Raw genomic sequence first — 26,853 nt, 5'->3', positions numbered from 1 at the left:
TAATTTTTGCATTTTTTAGTTGAGACGGTGTTTTACTATACATTGGCCAGGCTGATCTTGAACTCCTGACCTCAGGTGATCCTCTGCCTTGGCCTCCCAAAGTGGTGGGATTACAGGGCGTAAACCACCTTGCCCAGCCTTTTTCCTAATATTTTTGATCTGTAATTGATTGAATTGATGGATGTGGAGCCCACAGATACAGAGGGCCAGCTGTATATTTAAGGGTAACCATACAGTATTAGAATAGTAAAAATGTAGGATTAACTTAAATGTCCAGCAGTAGGGCTGGTATTCAATTATTGATAAATTGGGGATGACTTTTTTGACATGGAAAGATGTGAAGTGAAGCAGGTTGTAAATAATATGTACAATAGCATCCCGTTTTTGTTGAGTGTTCATATGTGCGCATATAGACAATGATTGGAAGGAGATATAGTAAGGTATTAACAGTGGTTTTCTGTGGATAGTGACATTGTAATTATAATCTTTTTCTTGATTATCTGTATTTTCAAAAATTTATGGTATAGATAGATACTACTTTTTTTCTTTTTTTTTCCTTTTTGAGATGGAGTTTCACTCTTGTTGCCCAGGCTGGAGTGCAGTGGCACAATCTCAGCTAACTGCAACCTCCGCCTCCTGGGTTCAAGCAATTCTCCTGCCTCAGCCTCCCAAGTAACAGGAATTACAAGTGCCCACCACCATGCCCGGCTAATTTTTGTATTTTTAGTAGAGACAGGGTTTCACTATGTTGGCCAGGCTGGTCTGGAACTCCTGACCTCAGGTGATCCACCAGCCTTGGCCTTCCAAAGTGTTGGGATTAAAGCTGTGAGCCACTGCGCCAGGCAGGTACTACTTTTTAATAAAAAAAAAAAAAAAAAAAAGAGAGATAAGATATAGAAAGCACAATAACTACCTCTATTCCAAGATTCTAAGTTTAAGTTCATGTCTGTTGAAGGAAAATATGTGTGTTTTTTAATGCAGTTAGTTTGTTGTTGTCACAGTTCTAGGTTACAACATGATGGTTAATAAATGTTTATTGAATTTGAAATTGTTAGATTCCCCATTAGGGCCATTTCAGAGAGACAGGTGTGGGATGTAGGCATTTTTTGTTCTTATCCCTGCTCTTGAAAACCGAGTAGCTGTCAACACCAGCAATTCTGTTCAGAGCAAAGTCTCTAAAGGGCTGGAGAAAAAGAAGAAATGTCAGTTGTGGTCATGGTTGGATTTTGTTGCTGTTGTTTTCCCCTTGTAACAATCTAGAGAGAGAAGACAAAAAAAAATGTTATAAGATACCAAAGTAATGCCTGGAGAATCATTCTGCAAATATTTGAGTGTCTGCTATATGCCAGGCATTGTTCTTGGTGCTGGAGATGTGCAGGGAGCAAAACAAAGATTGTTGCCCTTGTGGAACTGGCATTCTAGTTGAGGTAGACAGACAATAAACACATGAAAATGTAAGTGCATAGTGTGTCCAATTGTGGTACATGTGGAGAATATAGCCAGGTAAGAGGTTAGGGGTGTGTGTGTGTGTGTGTGTGTGTGTGTGTGTCTCAGGCCAGTGGATAGGGGGTTATTTTATAGAGAGTGGGTAAGAAGGACTCACAGATAAAATAACTTTTAGGCAGAGATCTGATTCTGTGGGAGAACAGGCCATGCAGGTGATTTGTGGGGAGAGGGTTCCTGGCAGAGGAAACAGCAGCCAGCCCTGAGGTGCTTGGCATATTTGCTGACCAGCAAAGAGGTCAGAATGCTGTTTTATTTCCACCTGTAAATGAAAACTTTATTGTAGGTAACTTTACTCATATCCAAGGATAAAGTCATGGAAGTGAATTTTCTGGCTCAAAAAGTACGCATATTGAGGCTTTTGATAAATGCAGCCAAGTAGTACATACATATCCTACGGAAAGATACCAGTCTATATCTCACAGCAGTGTGAAGGTGTTGGTTTCATTATCCCCTCTATTGGATATAACTTTTAAAAATTGCTAGTTTCTTGGGCAAAGCATGATGTATCTTTAATTCAAAATTATTTAATTTAAAGTTCCTTTATTATTAGGAAAGTTGGATAATTTTTCATATGTTTGTTGGCCATTTATATTTCTTGTGTGTGTGTGTGTGTGAGATAAAGAGAAAGAGACAGACAGACAGAATTACCTGCTTTTGTCCACTGACTTTTTTTTTGGAGAGCTGATTTTTTTTCTTTTTGATTTATCGTACATTAAGGATACTAAAATCCAGCCTGTTTCATATGTTGCCAGTGTTTTTTCCTGGTTTGTTAATTTTCTGTTGATTTTCTTTATGGTGTTTTTAGCTGTTGCATTTTATGTAGGCAGATCTATCAGTCTTCCTTGATGGTTTCTGTCCTTGTAGTGATGTATAGAAAAGCCAGAAGGGCAGCATTTATTGAGGTTGTTATTGTTTTTAATGTGCCATGCACTGCTCCCAAATACTGTATATTCATTCTCTTATCTTCTCGGAATCCTTCTGAGCATTATTATCCCCATTTGATAAATGAAAAAAGTGAGTTCTCATTGCAAACTATGGATATGGATCCGGTTTTGCCTGACCACATTAAAAGAAAAACTTTAGGCTGGCCACAGTGGCTCATGCCTGTAATCTCAGCACTTTGGGAGGCTGAGGTGGGAGAGTTGTTTGAGGCTAGGAGTTCAAGACCAGCCTGAGAAACACAGGGAGACACCGTCTCTACAAAAATAAAATAAGGTAATTAGCATGGCATGGTGGTGTGCACCTGTAGTCCCAGCTACTTAGGAGGCCTAAGGTGGGAGAATTACTTGAGCCTGGGAGGTTGGGGCTGCAGTGAGCCGTGATGGCACACTGCACTCCAGCCTGAGCAACAGAGTGAGACCCTATCTCTAAATAAATAAAGAAAAGAAAAACTTTAGACAAAATAAATTTAACAGAGATTATTTGATCAAACAACAATTCATGACTCAGGCAGCACTCAGAACCAGAGGAGGCTTAGAGAACTCTACTGTAGCAGCCTGGCTGTGAGCTTTTATAGCTGAAGTAGCTGAATGTGGAAATAAAGTTATTACATAACTGGCTATAGCTAGGCACTGGCTTTCTTTGGGTGTAGTTCAGTGGGAGGTCCCTGATTTTTAACCAGTTGTTTGGTTGACTGTGATTGATTGATTGATGCTCAGTTTTGGTTTTTCTTTTTTAGTCACTTATAAGAAATGCATCCAAGTTTAGGTGTGGTCTGCTTACTTAAGAGCTCCTAGTGCAGAGACAGGATCAGGCTAATGGCCTCCTTCTTATCTGCTTTAACACCACGAAGGTCACATTCTTTCCACTGTATGAAACCCTTTGCCCTGGACTTGTACATCCTTCCCACCCCCTGCCGCCCATGACATGGCTTATACTAGAACTGAGAACATAGCCCAGCCCAGGGAAATGTGTGAAGTTTCTCTGTCTCGTAGAGCTATTGGCTAAAGTTAATCTGCAAATTGCTGGCAGTTCCTTGGGAGCAAGAAAACTAATTATAATTTCAAAAGATTTGGATAACCATGTAAATGTTATAAGATTATACTCTCTAGTGCCCAGAATCAGGTATGAGTTGTATCACTTGTTGCTATATCTCCCTACAAAATAATCCTTAGGTACAGCAGAACTAACTAGGATTTTAAAGTTGTAGCTTCATTTCTTCCTGAAGAAATGACTTCAAAAAATATTTCAGGAGATGACAAAAGCACAAAGAAGCACTACACTTGTAGCTCATGTCTTTACCTTGTCTCTATGCTACCTGGAAAAGTATGGAAATCTCAGTTGTCATGGATTTTACACATACCAGGTGACTAACTATTGAAAGGTCTGACCCCACTGGATTGTGACAGCACAGTAACAGTTGTGGAACCTGTAAAGCCAGAGATCCAAATCCTTATTCCTGAGCAGCAGGAATAAGTGTCAACAGTTCAAATTATGTACATGGAGCTGTTGGCCATTGCAACAGGCTTTCTCTCTCCTTCCCCGACACCCCTCTCTCTCCTCCCATGACTACTACAGTCTACTTATTGCCTACCTCTCCCATTGGACTTGGTCTGTCATATTAAGAGCTGTGTCTTCATTGACTAGAATATTGGAATATAATGGGTGCTTAATGAATATGAATGAGTTAACGAGTGTTTTAGTTCATTTGGGCTTCTGTAACAAAATAGCATAGACCAGCTGGCTTATAAACAACAGAAATTGGCCAGGTGTGGTGGCTCATGCCTGTAATCCCAGCACTTTGGGAGGCCAAGGCAGGTGGATCACTTGAAGTCGGGAGTTTGAGGTCAGCCTGACCAACATGGTGAAACGCCCATCTCTACTAAGAAATACAAAAATTAGCCAGGCGTGGTAGTGGGCACCTGTAACCCCAGCTACTCGGGAGGTTGAGGCAAGAGAATCACTTGAACCTGGGAGGCGGAGGTTGCAGTGAGCTGAGATTGTGCCATTGCACTCCAGCCAGGGTGACAGAGCGAGACTCCATCTCAAATAAATAAATAAATAAACAACAGAAATTTATTTATCACAGCTTCTAGAGGCTGTGAAGTCCAAGATGAGGGCACTGGCAGATTTGATGACTGGTGAGGGCCCACTTTTCTGGTTCATAGGAGGTGCCTTCCATCTGCATCCTCACTTGGTACAAGAAGTGAACAAGCTCCCTTGGGCCTGTTTTTTTTTTTTTTTTTTTTTTTTTTTTTTTGAGACGGAGTCTCGCTCTGTTGCCCCCAGGCTGGAGAGGAGAGCAGTGGTGCCATCTCAGCTCACTGCAACCTCTGCCTCCTGGGTTCAATCAATTCTCCTGCCTCAGCCTCCTGAGTAGCTGGGACTACAGGCACGGGCCACCAGGCCCAGCTAATTTTTGTATTTTTAGTAGAGATGGGGTTTCACCATGTTGGCTAGGATGGTCTCGATCTCTTTACCTTGTAATCTGCCTGCCTCGGCCTCCCAAAGTGCTGGGAGTGCTGGGATTACCAGTGTGAGCCACCGTGCCTGGCCTTTTTTTTTGAGATGGAGTCTTGCTCTGTCACCAGGCTGGAGTGCAATGGCGTGATCTCGGCTCACTGAAACCTCTACTCGGCCCGCCGCAAGCCTCCCGGGTTCAAGTGATTCTCCTGCCTCAGCCTCCCGAGTAGCTGGGACTATAGCCATGGGCCACCATGCCCAGCTAATTTTTGTATTTTTAGTAGAGACGGGGTTTCACCATGTTGGCCAGGATGGTCTCGATCTCCTGACCTCATGATCCGCCTGCCTCGGCCTCCCAAAGTGCTGGGATTACAGGTGTGAGCCACCGCGCCTTGCCTGGGGCTGTTTTATAAGGACACTAATCCCATTCATGAAGGCTCTGCCCTTATGGCATAATCACTTCCCACAAGACACCAACTCCTAGTACCATCACTTTGGAGGTTAGGACTTCAACATATGACTTTTGAGGGGACGCAGATTCAGACCATAGCAATGAAGAATAGGTTTGTGACAAAGTCTTTCCAAGCCACAGAAGGCTCTTATTGCTGTAATAATAAACTAAAGGGAGACATTATGTTGAAGAAAATGTTATGTGTATTTACTTTTTTTTTCTGAGACAGAGTCTTGCTCTATCGCCAGGCTGGAGTGCAGTGGCACAGTCTCGGCTCACTGCAATCTCTGCCTTCCAGATTCAAGAGATTCTCCTGCCTGAGCCTCCCGAGCAGCTGGGACTACAGACATGAGCCACCGTGCCCAGCTAATTTTTGTATTTTTAGGAGAGATGGGGTTTCACCATGTTAGCCAGGATGTTCTCGATCACCTGACCTCGTGATCTGCCCGCCTTGTATATTTTATTCTCAGAACTGAAGGATAAGGAAATACAGTAAAACCAAATGTAAGACATGCTTAACAGTGCATTCTTGCTCACTAGAGGACAGGAAAGGATCCTTGATCCAGTTGCCTACTTGATATCTCTGCTTGGGTGTCCCAAAAGCATCTCAAGTTCATAATTTTCAAGACTGAATTCATGATTTTCTCCAGTCAAGCGTTTTCAACTTTTTCCTGTCTTAATGCACCACCCCTAACCCTGTTCCAACGTGTTCTCCGTACTACAGCCAGAGCAACCTTGTCAAAATACAAGTTAGACCATATTATTCGCTCCCTACCCTGGGTTTATTCCTCCATCTTCTCAAGCTACACTTGCCTTCCTCCAATTTCTTCTTGCCACAGGGCCTTTGCACATGCCGTGTTTATGTCTGGAATGTCGTGTCCCTTGCACTGTTCTACCCTGTCTCCTGTAGCCAGTTTAACTTTGAATTTCCCTCTCAAACGTCACGTATATGGGGAAGCTTTCCCTATTCTCACTGATTAGGTCAGTTTCCCTTATTGTATAGCATGGTCCTTTAGTCTCCTTTATAACAGTTATCAATGTAGTGTTTTCATTTATTTTATATGAACAAAACACATACGGTTCCCACCCATGTGACACAGTGTATTTGAGGGGTGGAGGAGACATTAATAATATATACAGGAGCTCCCTTTTCTGACTCTGTCAGTCAGATAATTAGTGGGTTAATTGAAAGTCACATAAATCAGGGAATCTTATTTTTATTTTTATTTTTTTGAGATGGAGTCTCACTCTGTCACCCAGGCTAGAGTGCAGTGGCACGACCTTGGCTCACTGCAACCTCCACCTCCCAGATCCAAGTGATTCTCCTGCCTCAGCCTCCTGAGTAGCTGGGACTATAGGCACCCACCACTTTACCCAGCTAATTTTTGTATTTTTAGTAAGAGACAGGGTTTCCCCATATTGGCCAGGCTGGTCTTGAACTCCTGACCTTGTGATCTGCCCATCTCGGCCTCCCAAAGTGCTGGGATTACAGGCGTGAGTCACCACACCTGGCCTATTTTTATATTTTTTTAAAAAGACAAGGTCTTACCCCTGCTGCCCAGGCTGGAGTGCAATGGCATGATCATGGTTCACTGCAGCCTTGACCTCCTGGGCTCAAACGATTCTCCCACCTTAGCCTCCCAAGTAGCTGAGATTACAGTCTCAACCCACCACACTCAGCTGAATTTTTAAATTTTTTGTAGAGACAGGCTTGCTGTGTTGCCCAGGCTGGTCTGAAACTCCCAGACTCAAATTATCCTTCCATTTTGGCCTCCCAAAGTGCTGGGATTATAGGTGTGAGTTACTGCACCTGGCCTAGGGAATCATCTTTTGCTGAAACAATCTATTTATTTTAATTAAAGACATATAAATGTGCATTAATTTGCTGATTTTGTGGTAAGGCTTTTCGTTTGTGTGTGGATTGTTGACTGGTGTCCGTTTCTTGCATATACTACCCTTAGCATATACTCTATGATTTTCCATTGAAATACATGGTTAAAGTAGAATGAGGCCTTTGGTACTTTGAAACAATATAAATCAAGAGTCTTTGATTTTTAATTCTTTTTCCTTTTTGCCCTATCCCTTCACACTTGCCTTGCCCACACCTGTTTTGTCAGCCATTTTTCCAGTGATTCAAATGTATTCTTAGCAGCGGCTATGGTCTTAGGTTGGTGTGTGGTGGAGAAAGACAGCCGTCACACTGACAGCATGGTGGCTCTGCAGTCCACTGCCTCTCCTGTGTGTCTGAAGTGCCATGAGTGTGTGTTGCTTTGGCCCTGTTGCCCCTGAGGGAGATGACTTCGGAGAACACAAGCACCGGGGTCCTGTGCCTGGGAGGTGGTCCCACGTCTGGAGCCAGAGGCTCACTCCGCTGTCCTCTAACACTTCCCACAAGTCTGTTTGGTCCTACTAGTCCTGTGTATCTCTTTTCTAGTTAAAGTTATTTCTTTGTATTTTTGGGTAGGAGGGTTAAAATACAAGGTGTTCCCTAGGCATGTTTTCTTTTCCTCACATCCATGGCCATTCAAACACCCTGATGCCTCTTGGAATATATAACTCAGCAGTTTTCTTTGTTTTAAGAGGGCATGGAGTACACATGTCTGGGGCCTCGCTGACCTTACATTCCAAAGTCCTGGGCCTCCCGCAGTGAGGCCAGCTGCCGTTTCACCCAGTGCACCTCCTCCTTCCTCCTCAATGCCCTGCCTGCAGTATGTGCTCTGTGCTTCCTTCTGGTGCACAACAGGCCATGGGCCTGTATCCTGCCTCCCTTGATTCATGTGAGCTTAATGTCAAGTGGGAAAAGCCACTTCCTAGAAGAATAGCAATTGACTGATGTCACCCCTGATCCATTGCAATGGAGGATGGGATCTTCCTTTCTCTGTTCATCTTTTGGTTGGGGGTGCTGACATCTATTACAGCACGACTAGTGTAACAGAATATCCCTCAGATAATTGGCTGCTTGGTCAATTATCTGAGTGTTTGCAGCTTATCTATTTGTATGTCAGTGTCTCCCATTAGATTATGAGGTCCGTGAAGGCAAAATATGAATGGGCGTTTAACAGCTAGGGCTTTGGAGCCAGACAGACCTCAATTCAAATTCTGGCTTTGCCATTTACCAGCTCTTCTCACCGCAGGCAAATTATCTAAACTCTTTGTCTCAGTTTCCTCATCTGTACAATGAGGGTAATAATAATAAATACCTTCCTCATAAGATTATTGTGCAACTTTAAGAAAGATGCAGTATATAAAACATTTAAAACAAAAAATGCAGCATATAACACATTTAAAACATATAAAAGAAAAAACCAGCAAAGTGCTTGGTTTGTGGCAAGTGTTCAATAAATGTTACCTGTGATGCTGCTATTAATGATAATTCTCAGCACCTTGTAAGTTGCTGTAAGTATTTGCACAATGAGTTTATGCAGCAAGTAAGGATTGAAGGCCCTTGCTAGACTGGAAACATTTAAATGCTAGGTTCTCCAGGAAGTTGTACAGATCAGACCTGATCTTGGATGGAGTGCTTGCCCATGCTAATAAAATTAACAAAGAACATTTCTTGAGCAGGCATCATTCCAGGAGATCAGTTCATTGAGTTAGTTGGGATTATTATGTTATATCCTGCTGGAATGGTTTCATTTATTTTTATTCATTATTAGGATAACTCTGGGAACTTGAATTAGTAGATTGAATATGCTTCTTTTTTTATTTTTTTGAGACAAGGTCTTGCTCTGTCGCCCAGGTTGGATTGCAGTGGCGTGATCTTGGCTCACTGCAACCTCTGCCTCCTGAGCTCAGGTGATTCTCCTCCCTTGGCCTCCTGAGTAGCTGGGATTATAGGTGCTCGCCACCACCATGCCTGGCTAACTTTTGTATTTTTAGTAGAGACGGGGTTTCACCATGTTGGCCAAGCTGGTCTAGAACTCCTGACCTCAACTGATCCACCTGTCTTAGCCTCCCAAAGTGCTGGGATTACAGGCCTGAGCCACCATGCCCGGCCAATAAAATGCATTTCTAACTGATGAGAGAAGCAGGTTGCAACCTCAGTGATATGCACTGTGTGTGAGAACTAGGATTTTGATTCTAAATTGTAAGAGAAAAGCAGTTCGTGGTGTGGCTACAATTGAAAAATAAATGTACCCTTCGGAAGTCCTTAAAGGGTCCCTGAACCAGAATTCCAGCAATGCCAGGTTAATGGTTGAAAAAGCCAGCCTATGGCCACCCAACTGAAGTTCTGGGATTCTTTTTTTCAATTTCATCCCTTGAAACTGGTTCTTTTTGTTGTGATTCCACGGAGCTGTTTGGTGTAGCCTGGGTAAATAACCTTTTCAATTTTTAATAATCTGTAGTGGATTCAAAACTTTTGGTTACTTAAAATCCAAAGAATAATGTTCACTGCCCTTGGAAAAAACCAGATCTGTTCTCTCTTCCAAGCTGCAGCAAGGCGTTTGCCATTTCCATTTCTGGGATCTCTTAGGCTAGATGATCAGTAATGATGGGATTGTAGGTAGGATGGCTTTATCTGCCTCCACTACTCAATCGATAAAGACTACATCTCACTTAACAAGTCTGCCAGGGATTTTTAGACAGCCTCTGTTGTTGTAGTTGATGCATCTGGAGGGTCAGCCTTTCCAGCTAGGTCTTTCTTAACAAAAAGTGGCAAAAGTGTTATTGCTTTTTTCCCCTCTTTTCAGATCTCATGTTCTTGTGTGGCTTCCTGCTTCAGTGCTGTTTGTGGGTATAATCTATGCTGGGTCCAGAGCATTGTCCAGACTGGTAAGTATTAGAGGTTCAGGGGAAACAACTCCTCTCTCCCTTTCCCCTTTGCCTTTTAACTTATCATGCCTCAGCTCAATAAGGGCAAAGAATCACTTTAATAATGATAATAATGGGACCTATTACTCCCTTTTGTTGAGTTGAAGATAATCAGATAACAGGGAAGGCCAACTTGTGTTACAAGGTGGGGATGCACAGGGAGAAGCAGAAGAAAGAGTAATGGTATTCGTGGAGCTGGCCAGAGACGGGCCCTGCTGGGACTGCTTCCCCGTGGAGATGGGCAGAGTGGGAATGCCCCAACTCTGCCTGAATGCAGGCTGTCCACAGGAGCAGGGAGGCAGGGCCCAAACTACTCCTTGCTTCTGAGGAACCAAACCCTGCCCATTGGTAACGTGGCCTGGTGAGCTTGGTCATGGATGCAAATGCCTGGCACAGGGTTGATGTCCTGTACACGGGGAAGCTAGTAAAACAAGCTGACTGTTTTGTCCTCCCACCACTTCTCTGCAGGACTGAGCTCCTCAAATGCAGGAACTGTGAAGAGCTAAGTTACTTCCAGATACATTATTTGGAACTCCAAAAATTTATTTATTTTGCCATCAAAAGAGAATCCATTAAAACCATCATTAACAGAAGGTGGCTTAAAAATCAGGAATGATGTTAATACCTCCTCCAGTCTTGTACCATGACTACTAACTGTTTTTATCTATTAGAAAATAGTTGTATTCTGACTTTGGGGAAAGTGCAGAATGTGCAAAACATTTTAGTCTTTTAATGTAAAATTCTTGTTGTTATGTTAGCCCCTTAGATCTCAGCTATAAAAACAGTAAAAACAAACAAATAAAATCTGCCTAATTGGATAACAATGTTGTTGTTAGGACAGCAACTCCAAAGTTGCAAAATAGCAGTGAGGACTGTAATTTTGAAATTAAATAATCATTTTTCTTTCATGATTCATAAGCTTGAGTAGATGGGGTGATATATGCAATGGGGAAGAACTTTCCTGGGTGGGCCTGAGAACTGACCCACGGTGCATGTTGCTGCTCAGCTCAGACCACGAGGCTTGCCCTGGCTGTCTGCTGTGCCTTCTTTGTTCTCAGGCTCTTACCGCCTCAGTTTATACCCTTTGGCCTGCAAAGAGTGTTTCCTCTCCTACGCCATAGACTATTGGATTTTGGTAAAAGCAATGTGTTGCTCAAATTCTTTTAAATTTTTTTCTAGGCTCTGGATAGTTACATTTGCCAGAATTTTGAAGTTTGAATAACAAGGTGTTATGTTCATAATGATAATACTTTTTGTTCATACAGTGCTTTTTTTCATAGGCTTCCAGAGTGATTTCCTTCGTGTCCTTTTATGTGATTCTTGCAATCTTTTGACAGATGATAGGTGAGGCAGCTGCTAACCACTTGACAGAGGAAGAGATGTAGGTGTGGAAAGTCTTGCTAAACTTGCCTCTAGTCCCAGATAGTGGCAGCTCTCGTTTTTTTGTTTTTGTTTTGAGACAGAGTTTTGCTCTTGTGGTCTTGTGGCTCAGGCTAGAGTGCAGTGGCACAATCACAGCCCACTGGAGCCTCGACCTTCTGGGCTCAATAGGCTCAAGTCATCCTCCCACCTCAGCCTCCCAAGTAGCAGGGAATACAGGTACTTGCCAATACACCCAGCTATTTATTTATTTTCTTTTAGAGATGGGGTCTTGCTCTGTTGCCCAGACTGATCTTGACCTCCTGGGCGCAAGCAATCCTGCCGCCTCAGCCTCCCAGAACACTGGGATTACAGGCATGAGCTACTGCACCTGGCATGGCAGCTCTTCTAACTCCCCACCTTTTGCCTTTTCAGAATTGTTTCTTTAGGGCCAATGCGTATGGATTTTAGAGTGAGCCCAGGGTGTAGTAGTCATTGTATAACATTAGACTCTTTCAGTTGCAAGTGTTAGAAAGCTCAAAAACTGGTCTAAGCAAAAGGAAGATTTACCAGTTCATATAACTGAAAAGTCTTGGGGTAGAAACCTATGTCACGAATGGCTTTGTCCAGAGGCTCCAGTATTACACTCAGAATCCAGTTTCTCTGTCTTTCAATTCTGCTCCCCATCTTTGTTTCTTTTCACATCCAGCCCACCCCTATAGCAACAATGAGTGTTGTACAGCTGCCCCCAACAATGGGTGTCAACTGCAGCCTCACATTCTCACAACTTTAGTGGAAAGAGACCATTTTCCTGGTAGTTCCTGCATGAGTCCCAGGCTTCACTCTGATTGGATCAGTCAGGGCCACTGCCCATCCTTGATCTGAAAACTGACCACAAGGTTGGAATTATGTTGATTGGCCAGCCCTGGTTCAAGACTTCCCTGAACCATTCACTGTGGTTGGAGACACTTGGAGGCCTATTCATGTAGGATCTCTGCCTGGGTCCCAGATATGGAGAGCAGGCTGTAATGGATCCTCAATGTTGGAGTGCTTTACCCTCCCCCCGCCGCCCCACACACACACAAAGAGGTACTGATACTAAGTTGCCAAACCCTCTCAGAAGACCATGGTAAATGTCAGTCTAGTGTGTTTTCAGGCAGTTGGGGAGTTCTGCAGCCTTCAACAACGCTTCTTGAGCTGTGATCTGCAGCTGTCCTGGTCTTTGAATTCTTTGTTACCTGTCCATGAAGAGATCGACTTTGGCACTAATCACACTGTTTAATTGAGCTGGCTTTTTTTTTTTGCAAGACATTTTGAAGGAGGAAGCGATGCATTGATTTTACATTCTCTTGCCAACTCCTTATCTTCTCGAGGACCAGCACTTTGAGTGGCATTCCTCTAGAGCACAGCCTTTTTTTAGAGATGGGGGTCTCACTGTGTTGCCCATGCTGGCCTCAAACTCTTGGGCTCACGTCATCCTCCTGCCTCAGCCTCCCGAGTAGCTGGGACTACAGACACGGGCCATGCACCCTGCTGAGAGCACATTCTTCTTAAATAAGCAAAAAGAAGCTGTTGCAATTCAAAATCTTTGAACAAAGGGAAACAACCAAAAACCAAATACACCCAATTAGAGTGGGAGGAGGGCGGAAAGCAGATGCTTATTATTGTTTTATAGTAAAATAACTCAACCCAGCATCTTTTCTTTGTTTCTGAGTTCTTTGTTTTTACATCGTTGCTTAGAAATTCATAGGGTGGATAAACATGAGGCACTTGTACAGTTTGTGTTGGATAGAAAACAGGCATCAATATGCTGGTGCCAAGCTGTCAGTTTAATGAATCCATAAGGAATGGGGGAAAAGCGCTCCATTAAAATCCGTAGATGTATTGTTATGCAAAACACTTTCGGGGTAGCTCTGCTCCATAAAGCCCTCCTTTATCTGACAAGACCTTGAAGTTCTGTTCTCCTGATCTGTAGCTTCTGGGAGGAAGCTGAGTTAACTCTGCACAGATGCTATGGGAAAAGCTCTTGGTTGATTTTTCTACCTCAGACTCACAACCAAATGATCTACAGAGTTAAGGGAAAGGAGATTTTTCTTGTAGCTGTCCATTCACTACATAGTTATTTGGGACCTACTATGTGTTGGGGGCATAAAGACAAATAAGACCTGGTTTCTGACCTTGAGGAACTGAAAGGGATGGGGCAGGGAGTGAAAGACACACAGCTCACCATGGGAACAGCCACCATGAATATTTGATGTTAAGCATGTGCCAGGCACTTTCTGTCACCAATCTTGATGAAGTGTGAGTTGGACTTGGGCTGATTCGGGCCTGCTTGCCCAGCTTTCCTACACTGAGTAAGGTCACAGTGATCATGGCTCTGATGGGTGAGTGTCAGTCTTGGAGGGACAGTATGACTTTGATGGCTCATGACTCTTCTTATAATTTCCTGGTCAAAAGCCTTCTCAGCTGGACAGGACTGCCTCAGCCTGTGCTGGCCAGTGTTCAGAAAAGATGTACAAATTCATACATTACTGAGCTTGGTGGAGAGAGGCCATCCTGGCATTGGCAATTTGGCTCAAGCCATGCTGTTTTCTTGCTTGGGGGAGGCCAGGGTCTGCAGCTGGAGGGACCCTAGAAGTCTAGGTCAAGGCACCTTGACAGGACAGGAATTGTTTTCCTTGCTGAGCTCTTTGATCTTGGTCCTTCCTAATGGCTTGTCCTTGTTTCTCTCTTCCATGAGCACAATATTCACTCAACATACTGGGGATGGAGATGGGATTGTGTGTGCGGTAGGGGGATGTTGATGAGGAAACACATATGGATCATTAAACCCATGTGGAGTGAGTTACTCAGTTAAGCAAAATGGTACCCGTGGGTCCTCTCTGTCTTTGTGTGGCTCCAATATCATAAAGGAAGTTGGATCCACAAAGGAAGAGTGTAAATGTTGGTGTAGAATGGAGCATCCGCCCCTAATGTCCCTGTTACTGCTGATGAGAGGCAGCTCCCTCTGTCACACTGTGTTTTCATCACAGGTGATCAGAGTCCAACTACAAGGATAAGTTTTTAAAATGTGGGCTCAGTGGCAATACAGTAAACTCCTCCCTGGATTTTTCTTATCATCTTGCTCCCTCTAAAAATTGTCCTGTAACTTTTATAAAATGGCTTTTTTTTTTTTTTTTTTTTTGAGATGGAGTTTCGCTTTTGTTGCCCAGGCTGGAGTGCAATGGCGTGATCTCGGCTCACCACAACCTCTGCCTCCCAGGTTCAAGTGATTCTCCTGCCTCAGCCTCCCGACTAGCTGGGGTTACAGGCATGCACCACCACGCCTGGCTACTTTTGTATTTTTAGTATAAAAAATACTAGAGATGAAATTTCTCCATGTTGGTCAGGCTGGTCTCAAACTCCCGACCTCAGATGATCCACCCGCCTCAGCCTCCCAAAGTGCTGGGATTACAGGCATGAGCCACTGCGCACGGCCATAAAATGGCTTATTATTAACATTGAACTCCTGGGGGAAAAGCTTCATGATGTTGGATTTGGCAAGGATTTCTTGGATATGACACCAAAGGCACAGGCAGCAGAAGAAAAATAGAGTAATTGGACTTCATCAAAATGAAAAATTTTGGTGCTTTAAAGGATACTATCAACAAAGTAAAAAGGCAACCCCCAGAAAGGGAGGAAATATTTCCTATTCACTCTTCAATTGCGGGATTCACTTATAGGCTATATAGAGAACTCATAAAACTTAATAGAACAAAAGCAAACAACCTGATTGAAAAATGGGCAAAGGACTTGAATAGGTATTTCTCCACAGATGATATTTAAAGACTGATAAATCCATGAAAAGAGGCTCAACATCATTAATCATTAGAAAAATGCAAATCAGAACTATAGGAGATACCACTTCACACCTATGAGAATGGCTGTTACCAAAAAACCAGAGAATAACAAGTGTTGGTAAAGATGTGGAGAAGTTGGAACCCTTGAGCACCACGGGTGGGAATGCACAGTGGTGCAGCTGCTATGGAAAACAGTATGGTGCTTCTTCAAAACATCAAAAGTAGGATTATTATATGATTCAGCAGTTCCACTTTTGGATGTATACCCAAAAGAACTGAAAGAAGGGAGAGGAAGAGATACTTGTGCATCCATATTCATTTGGCTATTATTCACAATAGACAAAAGGTAGAAGCAATCTCAGTGCCCATTGATGGATGAATAGATAAAATGTGATAAATACAAACAATGGGGCTGGGCACAGTGTCTCACACCCACAATCCCAGCACTTTGGGAGGCCAAGGCAGGTGGATCACCTGAGGTCAGGAGTTCGAGACCAGCTTGACCAATGTGGTGAAACCCTGCCTCTACTAAAAATACAAAAAATTATCTGGGCATGATGGTGAGTGCCTGTAATCCCAGCTACTTGGGAGGCTGAGGCAGGAGAATTGCTTGAACCCAGGAGGCAGAGGTTGCAGTGAGCCAAGATTGCACCATTGCACTCCAGCCTGGGCAACAGAGCAAGAGTCTATCTCAAAAAAATAAAAATAAAAATACAAACAATGGAATATTATTCAGCCTTAAAAAGGAAGAAAATCCTGGCTGCAACATGGATGAACCTTGAGAACATTATGCTAAATAAGTCAGTCACAAAAAAGATAAATACTGTGTGACTCCACTTATATCTGGTACTTAGAGTAATGAAATTTATAGAGGCAGAAAGTAGTATGGTGGCTATCAGGGGTGGGAGTAGGGGAGAATGAAGAGATAGTGTTTAATGGGCACAGAGTTTCAGTTTTGCAAGATGAAAAGAGTTCTGGCAGTGGAGGGTGGTGATGGTTGTACAATGGTGTGAATGTACATAATGAAGTGTGAACGGACTATGCTCTTAAAAATGGTTAAGGTGGCAACTTTTTGTGATGTATATTTTACCACAATAAAAAAAAAAATAATCTAGGCCAGGCTCGGTGGCTCACGCCTATAATCCCAGCACTTTAGGAGCCTGAGGTGGATGGATCATGAAGTCAGGAGATCGAGACCATCCTGGCCAACATGGTGAAACCCCGTCTCTATTAAAAATACAAAAAATTATCCTGGCATGGTAGCATGCACCAGTAATCCCAGCTACTCAGGAGGCTGAGGCAGAAGAATCGCTTGAACCCGGGAGGCGGAGGTTGCAGTGAGCCGAGATCATGCCACTGCACTGCAGCCTGGAAGACAGAGCGAGACTCCGCCTCAAAAAAATAAATAAAAATAAAAATCACCTAGGTTCCAGTAGGAGTTTTTTTGAGGATTGTGTGAAAAGGAGGGGGTGATAATGTGTTCTTACTTGTCTCACTCAGAACTCCTCTGTGTTCCTGTGGGATATGCATATTTAGTTTAACTGAATTCAGTTAGTGGACTTGGGTAAAGTGTGAAGAAAACAGCCATTCCCTGAGAGCAGGCAAGTCCGCCCACCATTCCCACCCATGCGTTAATGCCAGGCTGGAAGACTGAGGCCCCCTTAGGCCTTCTCTGATTCCCTGGCATCTCTCTTAGGATTAGTATTTTGCCAAATTGGAGGAGCTCCGGCAAGGTATGTATTTTTAATATGTTGAGGCCCTTACACACCAGGCAGCTACTTTATGTGATCCTCAAATGAAGGACAAAGAGGACCTCCCAGCTTGTACTGGAGGCTGGGAAAGAAGGCAGTCTGGTCCTCTGCCCTCAAGGAGTTTGCCATCTAATGGCAGAATAGTAAGATGAGTGTAAATAAACACTACAGTCTATTTCATACAAGTCAGTTTATGAATATTCACTTAAATGTGCACATATGCATATTCAGATACCTCACCTTCTTCCAGAGAGGATGTGTGGTAGCTTACAAAAATAATTACAGTTAAAAAAAGATAAACACTCTTATGAAGAGAATTGTATAAGAAATCTAAGTAAAAGGGCCAGCATGGTGGCTCATGCCTGTAATCCTAGCACTTTGGGAGGCCAAGGCAGGTGGATCACCTGAGGTTGGGAGTTCGAGACCAGCCTGGCCAACGTGGCAAAACCCCGTCTCTACTAAAAATACAAAAATTAGCCGGGTATGGTGGCGTGTGCCTGTAGTTCCAGCTACTCAGGAGGGTGAGGCAGGAGAATCGCTTGAACCCAGGAAGCAGAGGTTGCAGTGAGCCAAGATCGCATCACTGCACTCCAGCCTGGGAAACAGGGTGAAACTCTGTCTCAAAAAAAAAAAAAGAAGAAGAAAGAAAGAAATCTAAGTAAAAGGTAACAGATGATGTCACAGAGAGATTTAGCACATAGAAATTTATATTGTAGTATCTCACAACATAATTACAATTGGGTCTGAATTCAGCTCTGAGCTTTCTGCAGCCAAATAAAAAAGTTATGAAAGTCTAGACATGGTGGCCCATGCCTGTAATCCCAGACTTTAGGAGGCTGAGACAGGAGAATTGCTTGAGCCCAGGAGTTCGAGACCAGCCTAAGCAACATAGCCAGATCTCATCTCTACAAAAAATAAAATAAGTAGCCTGACCTGGTGGCATGTGCCTCTAGTCCTAGCTACTCAGGAGGCTGAGGTGGGAGGATCACTTGAGCCCAGGAGTTTGAGTCTGCAGTGAGTTATGATCACGCCACTGCATTCTAGCAAAAAAAGTCAACTTAAAACACAATTACAACTAATTGAAGTTTTCCTGAGGCCTCATAAAGGGTAGGCTGGGTGACTCAGTGAGGCAGGTCTTTAATAATGTCCTTATAACACTCAAAATACTCACCAGTGTCTAGAATTCTTAGTGCACATGGAGACAGAATGATGACACAGCACTGTTCAGTAGGAGCAGGTCTCTGGGGTAAAATCCATGCGTCTCTGGTTATTTGGCTCCGTTCAGGGCCTTAGACAATCCTCTAGGATCTTTTCTTTTCTTTTCTTTTCTTTCTTTTCTTTCTTTTTTTTTTTTTCTTTCAGAGTCTTGCTCTGTCACCCAGGCTGGAGTGCAGTGGTGCCATCTTGGCTCACTGCAGGCTCTGCCTCCCTTCAAGTGGTTCTCCTGCATCAGCCTCTTGAGTAGCTGGGATTACAGGTGCCTGCCACCATGCCTGGCTAATTTTTGCATTTTTAGTAGAGACGGGGTTTCACCATGTTGGCCAAGCTGGTCTTGAACTCCTGACCTTAGGCGATCCACCAGGTTCAGCCTCTCAAAGTGCTGGGATTACAGGCATGAGCCACTGCACCCGGCCTAGGAACATTATTTCTTGCATGCACGATTTTGGTAAAAATTAGTCAGCCAACAGTTCAGAGTTACTTTCTTTGACAAGGACCTGGAGGTCAGTTATTCTGTATTATAGGTTAAGGACACATCTGCATATTTAAAAATCACCCAAATAGAAAGGTAGGATTGACATTCTTTTACAAAAATTGAGAAGTTGACTCAGAACTTGCGCTTGAATAGGGGAGTCGTTCACACCTCTGTAGAGTGACCGAAGCCGTGCCTGTGAGCAGGGTCAAGACTTTCCATGGGAAACCATTCTAAGTTAGTTCCAACACCTGAACAAATAACCAAGCCTTCAAAATTCCACTCTAGGAAGTATGAGAATAATGAAATATTTCTGAGTGAGAGTTACCAATTTCTCTTTATAGCCAGAGAAAAATTTCAACGGTGCATGGATGAAATGTTGAATTTTCAGCTAATGGATTCTAGGAATAAAGTAGTTGCAAATTGTGTCCCTAAGTAATTTAATGCATTTTCCTGCAGTATGTTTAATTTGGTCAATTACCTTTTTACAGAATTATTTCAAAAATGCTGCTTTGGGCTTTATGGTTCCTGATGTTGTGCCATTTTCCCTGATGAAAGAGAGTAGGACCTTTTGATGTTGAGGCCATTCCTACAGTCTTGACAGTGGTGAAGAGCATCACCTAGTTTTCTGTTTCTCTTTAGCAGATATCTAGATCATCCAAAAGTGGTTTCAAATCATGAAGAGTCAGGTAAAAAAGAGAACCAGAACATATTCCTCAGTTTTCTTGACCGTATAATGGGGATTTTAATAATATCTATCTCATAGGGTTATTATGAAGTTTAAATATATAAAAGTGGTACAGTGTCTGACACGTAGTAAGCACTCAAGATATCTTAGCTACTATTATTGCTTTTATCATTTCTTAGCATTTTTGTTTGATTTAACAAAAATAAGTCCTGCTGAACTTGACTCCTTAAAGATAATAAAGGGCAGATTTTCTGAAAGCATCAGTCACTAGGGGTTTCCTGAACTAATGGGTTATAGTTCACATTAGGAATTGTACAGAGTTAGAGGCCAGGGAAAGATTGGTAATTAAAGTTGCAAACTGGCCGGGTATGGTGGCTTACACCTGTAAATCACAGCACTTTGAGAGGCCGAGGTGGGTGAATTACCTGAGGTCAGGAGTTGGAGACCAGCCTGATCAACATGGCAAAACCTCATCTCTACTAAAAATACAAAAATTAGCTGGGCGTGGTGGTGTATGCCTGTAATCCCACCTACTCGGCAGAGTGGGGCAGGAGAGTTGCTTGAACCTGGGAGGCAGAGGTTGCCAAGATCGTGCCACTGCACTCCAGCCTGGGCAATAGAGTGAGACTCCGTCTCAAAAAAAAAAGGTGCAAACTGTCTTAATATTGTTTTTAATAGAGCCCTACACAGGCTGATAGAGTGCAACTGGTCAATTGTAGAGTAAGGGTCTTTAAAGCCTGTTAGCTTCTCAGTAGAAAAAATGGCTTGAGAAAATCAGATTTAAAATTTATTAAGCAGGAGTAGAAGAAAGCCTTTTTAAAAAAGGCATAGGTTTACTCTGAGTTCATCCATTTTAGTTCTTACCAGCTGTATTAGTCCATTCTCACACTGCTATAAAGAACTACCTGACAGGCCAGGCACGGTGGCCTGTGCCTGTAATCCCAGCACTTTGGGAGGCTAAGGCTGGCAGATCACTTGAGGTCAGGAGTTCGAGACCAACCTGGCCAACATGGTGAAACCTCGTCTCTACTAAAAATACAAAAATCAGCTGGGCTTCATGGCAGGGCCTGTAGTCCCAGCTACTCAGGAGGTTGAGGCAGGAGAATCACTTGAACCCGGGAGGTGGAGGTTGCAGTGAGCCAAGATGGCGCCACTGCACTCTGGCCTGGGTGACAGAGCAAGACTCCAACTCAAAAAAAAAAAAAAAAAAAAGAACTACTTGACTGGGTAATTTATGAAGAAAAGATGTTTAATTGACTCACAGTTCTGCAGGCTGTACAGGAAGCATGGCTGGAAGGCCTCAAGAAACTTACAATCATGGTGGAAGGTGAAGGGGAAGCAAGCACCTCTTACCATGGCGGAGCAGGAGAGAATGAAGGGAGAAGGGCCGCACACTTTTAAACAACCAGATCTTATGAGAACCACTATCATAAGAACAGCAAGGGGGACATCCACCCCCATGATTTAATCATCTCCCACCTGTTCTTTCTCCCAAAATTGGGAATTACAATTCGACATAAGATTTGGGTGGGGACACAGAGCCAAACCATATCAGCAGGTTTATTACTGGAGAAGCAAATGGCCAGGATTTGGAACACACCAGTCATATTGAACTTTGGACAATTGGAGGTCCCGGAAGTTTTCACTGTGGCTTGACATAATTTGTGCGTCACAACTCCAAGGCTAGAAGGTGTGGGCTTTGCTGTTAGACAGGCCTGGATTGGGGTCATGGCTTTGCCACTGAACCAGCTGTGAATACTCGAGCAAGTGGCCAGTCTTTCTCAGCCCCATTTTCATTGTTTATAAAATCAGGGTAATAGCATCTGGTAAGAGAGGTGCTGGGAGGAGGTTTAAATAAGAGAATACACATAAAATACTTAGCACTATGTTTAACACATTGTTGGTGGCTATTGTTAGTGTACTTTAAAATTAATTCTACATGTATAAATAGATCCTTTTCCAGAATCTGATCAGAGTAAGGGCCTAGGAAGATTGAGAAAACAGCCTGCAGGTCCTAAAATTGAGAAAATTAAGCCTTGTCGAAGTCTAAAGTTGGGTCTAGAATTATCTGACCTCATTACTGATTTTATAGCCAAGGAGGCAAAAAACATTTACATAAGGTCTTAATTCAGTAAGATCCAGCCCCCACTTTAATATTAGCTTCCATGTGTCATGTGATTAACCTGTCCAAGATTTTTTTTGCTGTCCTTTCAAGCCAAGAATTGGAAGGCCAGGGCCCAAGTTTGCCAAACATGGGCCTAATGGAGAAAGCCAACTTTAAAATATGTAATCTCTTTAATAATCTTAACAAACATGAAAAATAAGTTAAAATCTAAAAATTTAAGAGGAATAAAAAGAAACACAAAGATAAATGAAAAAATAGAAGCTAAAATAGTTCTATTTTAAAAGAAAAAAACAATTTGAGTTGAACTTTTAATGAAAGATAAAAATAGAAAATGTTTTTTTAAAAAGGTAAGAAAAATGTAAGGCAAGAACTCAGAAATGAAACAGTGCGAGTTAGAACAGATTACTAAAATGGCACAGCTATATAAAGCTATAGAAGTTTTAAAAACAAGGTAAAAATATGTCCTCCGTAAAGATAAAGAATAAATTCATCTGAAAGTAGGCAAGCGGCATAATTTTGAAGCAGGTCCTCTAAACTGGAGCAGTTTACCCAGGTTGGTCCTCTGCAGAGGCTGCTGAGGGCGGGGCTACCAGTTAATGTTATTGACACCCTTTGTGCAGTGCTGCTGAGCCACTCATCAAGGTCCTTAACCTATAGTATTTGGGTCGTTCCTCTTGGCAGCTCCAGGCTATGGGGTATTGTTATCCCTGCTTTACAGGGGAGGAAACAAAAGTTTGGATGCAGACCTTGCCCCACTAGCAGGTGGTGGAGCTGGAGCCCAGAGTGATGACAAAACCTATGCTCTTATTTTCATTTTCTGCCTTCCAGGAAGCATCATTATCATTATCAACAATAAAGACAACAGGCCAGGGGCAGTGGCTCACACCTGTAATCCCAGCACTTTGGAGGCCAAGGCAGGTGGATCACTTGAGGCCAGGAGTTCGAGACCAGCCTGGCCAACATGGTGAAACCCCGATTCTACTAAAAAAATACAAAAATTAACCGGGCGTGGTTGCAGGTGCCTATAGTCCCAGCTACTTGGGAGGCTAAGGCAGGAGAATTGCTTGAACCCAGGAGGTGGAGGTTGCAGTGAGCCGAGATGGCACCACTGCGCTCCAGCCCAGGCGGCAGAGCGAGACTCTGTCTCAAAAAACAAAAATGAAAAACAAGGCAACAGAATTCCTCTCCTCCTCATTCTCCCCCCTCACCTTGTCAAGGCTACCTATCCATTAGGAGAGTATGCCACTCTTAACAAATGTCCCAGCAATGGGAAATGTGCAGTAGGTACCAGTATATCCTAATAATGCACTGTTACATTTTTTATATTTTCTCCTTTTTTTTTTTTTTTTTTTGGTGAGAGTTTATCCAGTTATTCAAATATTTACTTCAGTTCAGTCTCCTAAATATTTCTTTGATGTGGCCCCTTTCCTCCATCTTCGCTGCCAGTACCAAGTTCAGGTCACCATCCTGTCCTTCCTTGTGTTCATTTCCTGTGGCTACTGTAATAAATTACCACATACTTGGGTGACTTAAAACAACAGAAATGTATCCTTCATAGTTCTGGAGGCCAGAAGTTTGAAATCAAGGTGTGGGCAGGGCTGGGCCCGGTCCTGAGCCTCTAGGGGATAATCTGTTCCTGGCCTCTTTCAGCTTCTGGTGGCCACGGCATTGCCCAGCTTGTGGCTGCATCACTCCAGTCTCTGCCTCTGTGGTCACATTGCCCCTTCTCTGTGCATGTCAACCTGCCTCCTCTTATAAGGATATGTGTGACTGCATTTAGGGCCCACCCAATAATCCAGGATAATCTCCTGTCTCAAGATCTTCAATTTACTCACATTTGCAAAGATCCTTTGTTGCCATAGCAGACAACATTTACAGGTTCCAGGGATTGGAATGTGGATGTCTTTTAGGGGACCATTTTTCTTTCTTTTTTTTTTTTTTTTTTTTTTTGAGACAGAGTCTCGCTCTGTCACCCAGGCTGGAGTGCGATCTCAGCTCACTGCAAGTTCTGCCTCCTGGGTTCATGCCATTCTCCTGCCTCAGCCTCCCAAGTAGCTGGGACTACAGGCAACTGCCACCATGCTCGGCTAATTTTTTTTGTATTTTTAGTAGAGACGGGATTTCACCATGTTAGCCAGGATGGGCTCGATCTCCTGACCTCGTGATTCACTCTTCTCGGCCTCCCAAAGTGCTGGGATTACAGGTGTGAGCCACCACGCCCGGCCTTAGGGGGCCATTTTTCATCCTATGGCGCCCCTAGACTTTTGCAGCCCTCTCTGCCTCCTGTCTTCCACCCTGCAGCCCAAGTTCCTCTAAACATGCAGATCGTGTTATGGTCAGCTTTAAAACTCTTCACTGGTTCCTGGGTCCCTCAGAACCATCCTGTTTCCCAGTGTGGCCTGTGAATACCTCTCTACCTTCCTGTCCCTCACGTCCCCCTTCCTCATTATGTTCCACCCATGCCCCACTTCTTCCCATTCCCCGGAGAAGATGGATCCGCTCTCTCCTCTGGATCTTGGTGTGCCCCTCTGCCTGGGCCACTTTGCCACCTCCCTGCTTTTTGTTTGGCCCATGCCAGTTCATCGTTCAGTTCTCATTCCTTCACTTCACTTTGTAGTCCAAGTCCTCTTGGACTTCACTTCCTCTAAGAAAGCTTGCTCTGCGTGTGCCGGGCGGGGTGCACTTTTGCCCCATCTGAGCTCTCGCCTGAGGGGGCATGTTTACCTTGTCATGGGATGTGTTCTCTGTACCGGATGCAGTGCCTGACACACAGGAGACTTAAATGTTTGTTGATGAGAATGCCCGTAGGAGGGGAACCTCTACATCCACCTACAGAGAAATACTGCAGCAAAGAGCGCTAATCCATGTAGAAGTCTTTGCTGGAGTGATTATATATGTGGATGCCAAAAGTTTCCACAGCTCTTTATTTTTAAGCAAAAAATCAAGAACCATATGATTATGAGATCGAAGAAAATATTTTCATGTTTTTTATTCTGTTTTCTTTCAGGCCATTCCTGTGTTTCTCACTTTGCATAATGTAGCTGAAGTTATCATCTGTGGGTACCAGAAGTGTTTTCAGAAAGAGGTAAACGATCATGCAAAATGCTAGTGTTACTTCCTTGTTTTAGATTTCAAAGAAGTACTCTTCTTTTTATGGCCCAAATTAGTGTCTGCCTCTTCCTGCCACCAATCTCCAGGCAAGATTACCTGATAGTGATCAATGATACCATGGGACACAGTTTTGACTTTGCTGCAATTCACCAGACATATGTGGGAATATTGTTGATATGAACTGAACTCAGATCCAGGCCAGGCTGACCCAGACCCTCAGGAGACAAAGAGGAGTTTGCTGTGGGCCTGCTGGGGAAGCATTCCTACCCCCGGCCAATCCAGCACCACAGGACAAGGCGTAGCAGAGTTTTACACAGGGTGCCGCGGCACTAGCCCACCCCAGGGAAATTTGCTTTTCTCTCCAATATCAGCTATACCTCATACCAGCTAGAACAAGCTCCTTCACCTTCCAGGCCTCCATCTGTGCAAGGTGGTAATAATGACACCAGCTTGTTCAAGACTTTTTCGAAGAACACAGCAACTATCACTGTTAAGTAACTGCTTCCAGCCATTTCCTGCATGCAGTAGGTGCTCTGCACATCAGGAACAATTAGTAATGTTATCAGAGGTGGTTTTAAATTGGTCTTTCTTTTTGGAGTTTTTTTTTTCTTCTGGCATTTGCTATTTGATTTCATACCAATTTTTGGAACATTTTAATTTATTTTTATTTTTAGAGACAGGGTCTTGCTCTGTCGCCCAGGCTGGAGTACAATGGCACAGTAATAGTTCCCTGCAGCCTCAAATTACTGGGCTCAGGTGATCTTTCTGGCCCAGCCTCCTGAGCAGCTGAGACTACAGGCACAAGCCACTGCACCTGGCTACTTTTTAATTTTTATTTATAGAGATAGGGTCTTGCTATGTTGTCCAGGCTATTCTCGAGCTCCTAGGCTTAAAGGATCCTCCTGCCTCAGCCTTCTAAAGCATTGGGATTACAGGTGTAAAACATCACACCCCCCCCCCCCAATTTTTGGAACTTTTAAACTATAGAGAGGCCAGCTGGTCACCTCAGGCCACATGCTTTTTACAGGTGTGCAGGAAAGGAGGCCATGACCATACCCGATCTCCCCCCATCATCCTGCCGCTCCTTGGAGGTGGCCCTGTCAATTATCTCTCCTCTCTTCTACACTGTCAGCCTCTCCCTCGTCACTGGCTTATTTCCCTGGGCCCATAAACATGCCTTGGTGTTGTCATTGCACCAAGGAGAGGATGGGCTCTCCTTCCCATGTGACAATGAGAGACAGAAGAGACTCACTTCACCCAGCCCTGGAAGGGTGTGTTTACAAAACCATCCCTCGCACGGGAAAATCTCAAGCTGCCTTGCCCGTGCACCTCCCACTCTGCCTCATCCCTTCTCTCCCCTCCCATGCCACAGGCCTCAGGGCTGGGCTTGGTGTTGTCCATGCCCTCTTGTCCCTGTCACCTTCTGCTGCTCCTGCTTCTGCCCCCGCCGTTCCCCTGAAACTGTCCTGGCTGAAGGCACTGGTGGCTTCGTCTGTGCGACTCATCGTGTCTGTTTCCACCATTCCCCCCGCTTTCTCCTCTGGCCTCTCCAGGCCCCCGTGGCCTTCATGCCCCCTCCCTGCTTGGTTCCCTTCCTGTGTCTTGGGCTTTTCCTTCATCCATCTTTCTCTTCCTTTTCCTTTGTCTGCCTCTTCAGGGTTTCCCTGGGCTGTTTCTTAGGAGCCTCTGTCCTCATGCCACATACTTTCTGGAAAATCTCATCCACACCCATTGTGCCAGCCACCTGCTGCTCACAGAGGACCCCCAAATCTCCATCTCCAGCCCATACCTCCTGCTGAGCTCAGCTCCCCTGCAGAGCCCTGGGGCTTGCTGTCCTATGGTTCTCCCCGGACATCTGAAATGGAACTGATCTGTTTCTCCAGACCTGCTTCTCACTTGGTAGCCCCAATCCTGGTCATCATCACCGAAGTCAGAAACCCTGGAGGCCCCTTGGACTCCCCAGTATCCCCTCCCCACCACATCCAGCCTATTACCAAGTCTGTGCCTCCTCTACCCTCACAGCTGCTGCCGCCCTAGTTCAGTCCTCATCTTCTCCAGGCTGCCTTGCTGGGACTGAGGAAAAAGAGCTCGATCCCCTGAGCCCTTAGGCAGGGCCTGG

General features: G+C 44.0%; 1 protein-coding gene across 23 annotated transcripts in view, besides 1 other annotated feature; it reads left to right on the top strand.

Annotated features, from left to right (window-relative positions):
• Positions 1 to 26,853, top strand: part of SLC35D4 (solute carrier family 35 member D4) — a 199,440-nt gene that overhangs the window by 28,264 nt on the left and 144,323 nt on the right. For 18 of the 23 annotated variants that reach the window (NR_148382.2, NR_148384.2, NR_148383.2 and 15 more), the window contains 2 exons: positions 10,051 to 10,132; positions 24,631 to 24,708. Coding sequence is in view for 12 of the 23 variants with exons in the window: in XM_047437896.1 (XP_047293852.1) it covers positions 10,051 to 10,132; positions 24,631 to 24,708 (160 nt within the window). In the remaining 11 variants the exon portion in view is untranslated. The remainder of the gene's footprint in view (positions 1 to 10,050; positions 10,133 to 24,630; positions 24,709 to 26,853) is intronic. The other 5 variants (XR_001753290.3, NR_148385.2, XM_047437899.1 and 2 more) reach the window with 2 other exon arrangements.
• Positions 25,898 to 26,073: a silencer, noted in NCBI's record as "fragment chr18:20963589-20963764 (GRCh37/hg19 assembly coordinates)". NCBI's record gives its function as "represses an EF-1alpha promoter that drives an FKBP-Casp9 reporter gene in an ReSE screen in K562 erythroleukemia cells {active_cell/tissue: K562}" and the evidence as "EXISTENCE:reporter gene assay evidence [ECO:0000049][PMID:32094911]".

This window comes from Homo sapiens, chromosome 18, assembly GCF_000001405.40.
Source record: "Homo sapiens chromosome 18, GRCh38.p14 Primary Assembly".
Lineage (NCBI taxonomy): Eukaryota > Metazoa > Chordata > Mammalia > Primates > Hominidae > Homo > Homo sapiens.
Note: the sequence above shows the minus strand (reverse complement) of the source record. Positions and strands in the feature narration are given on the sequence as shown.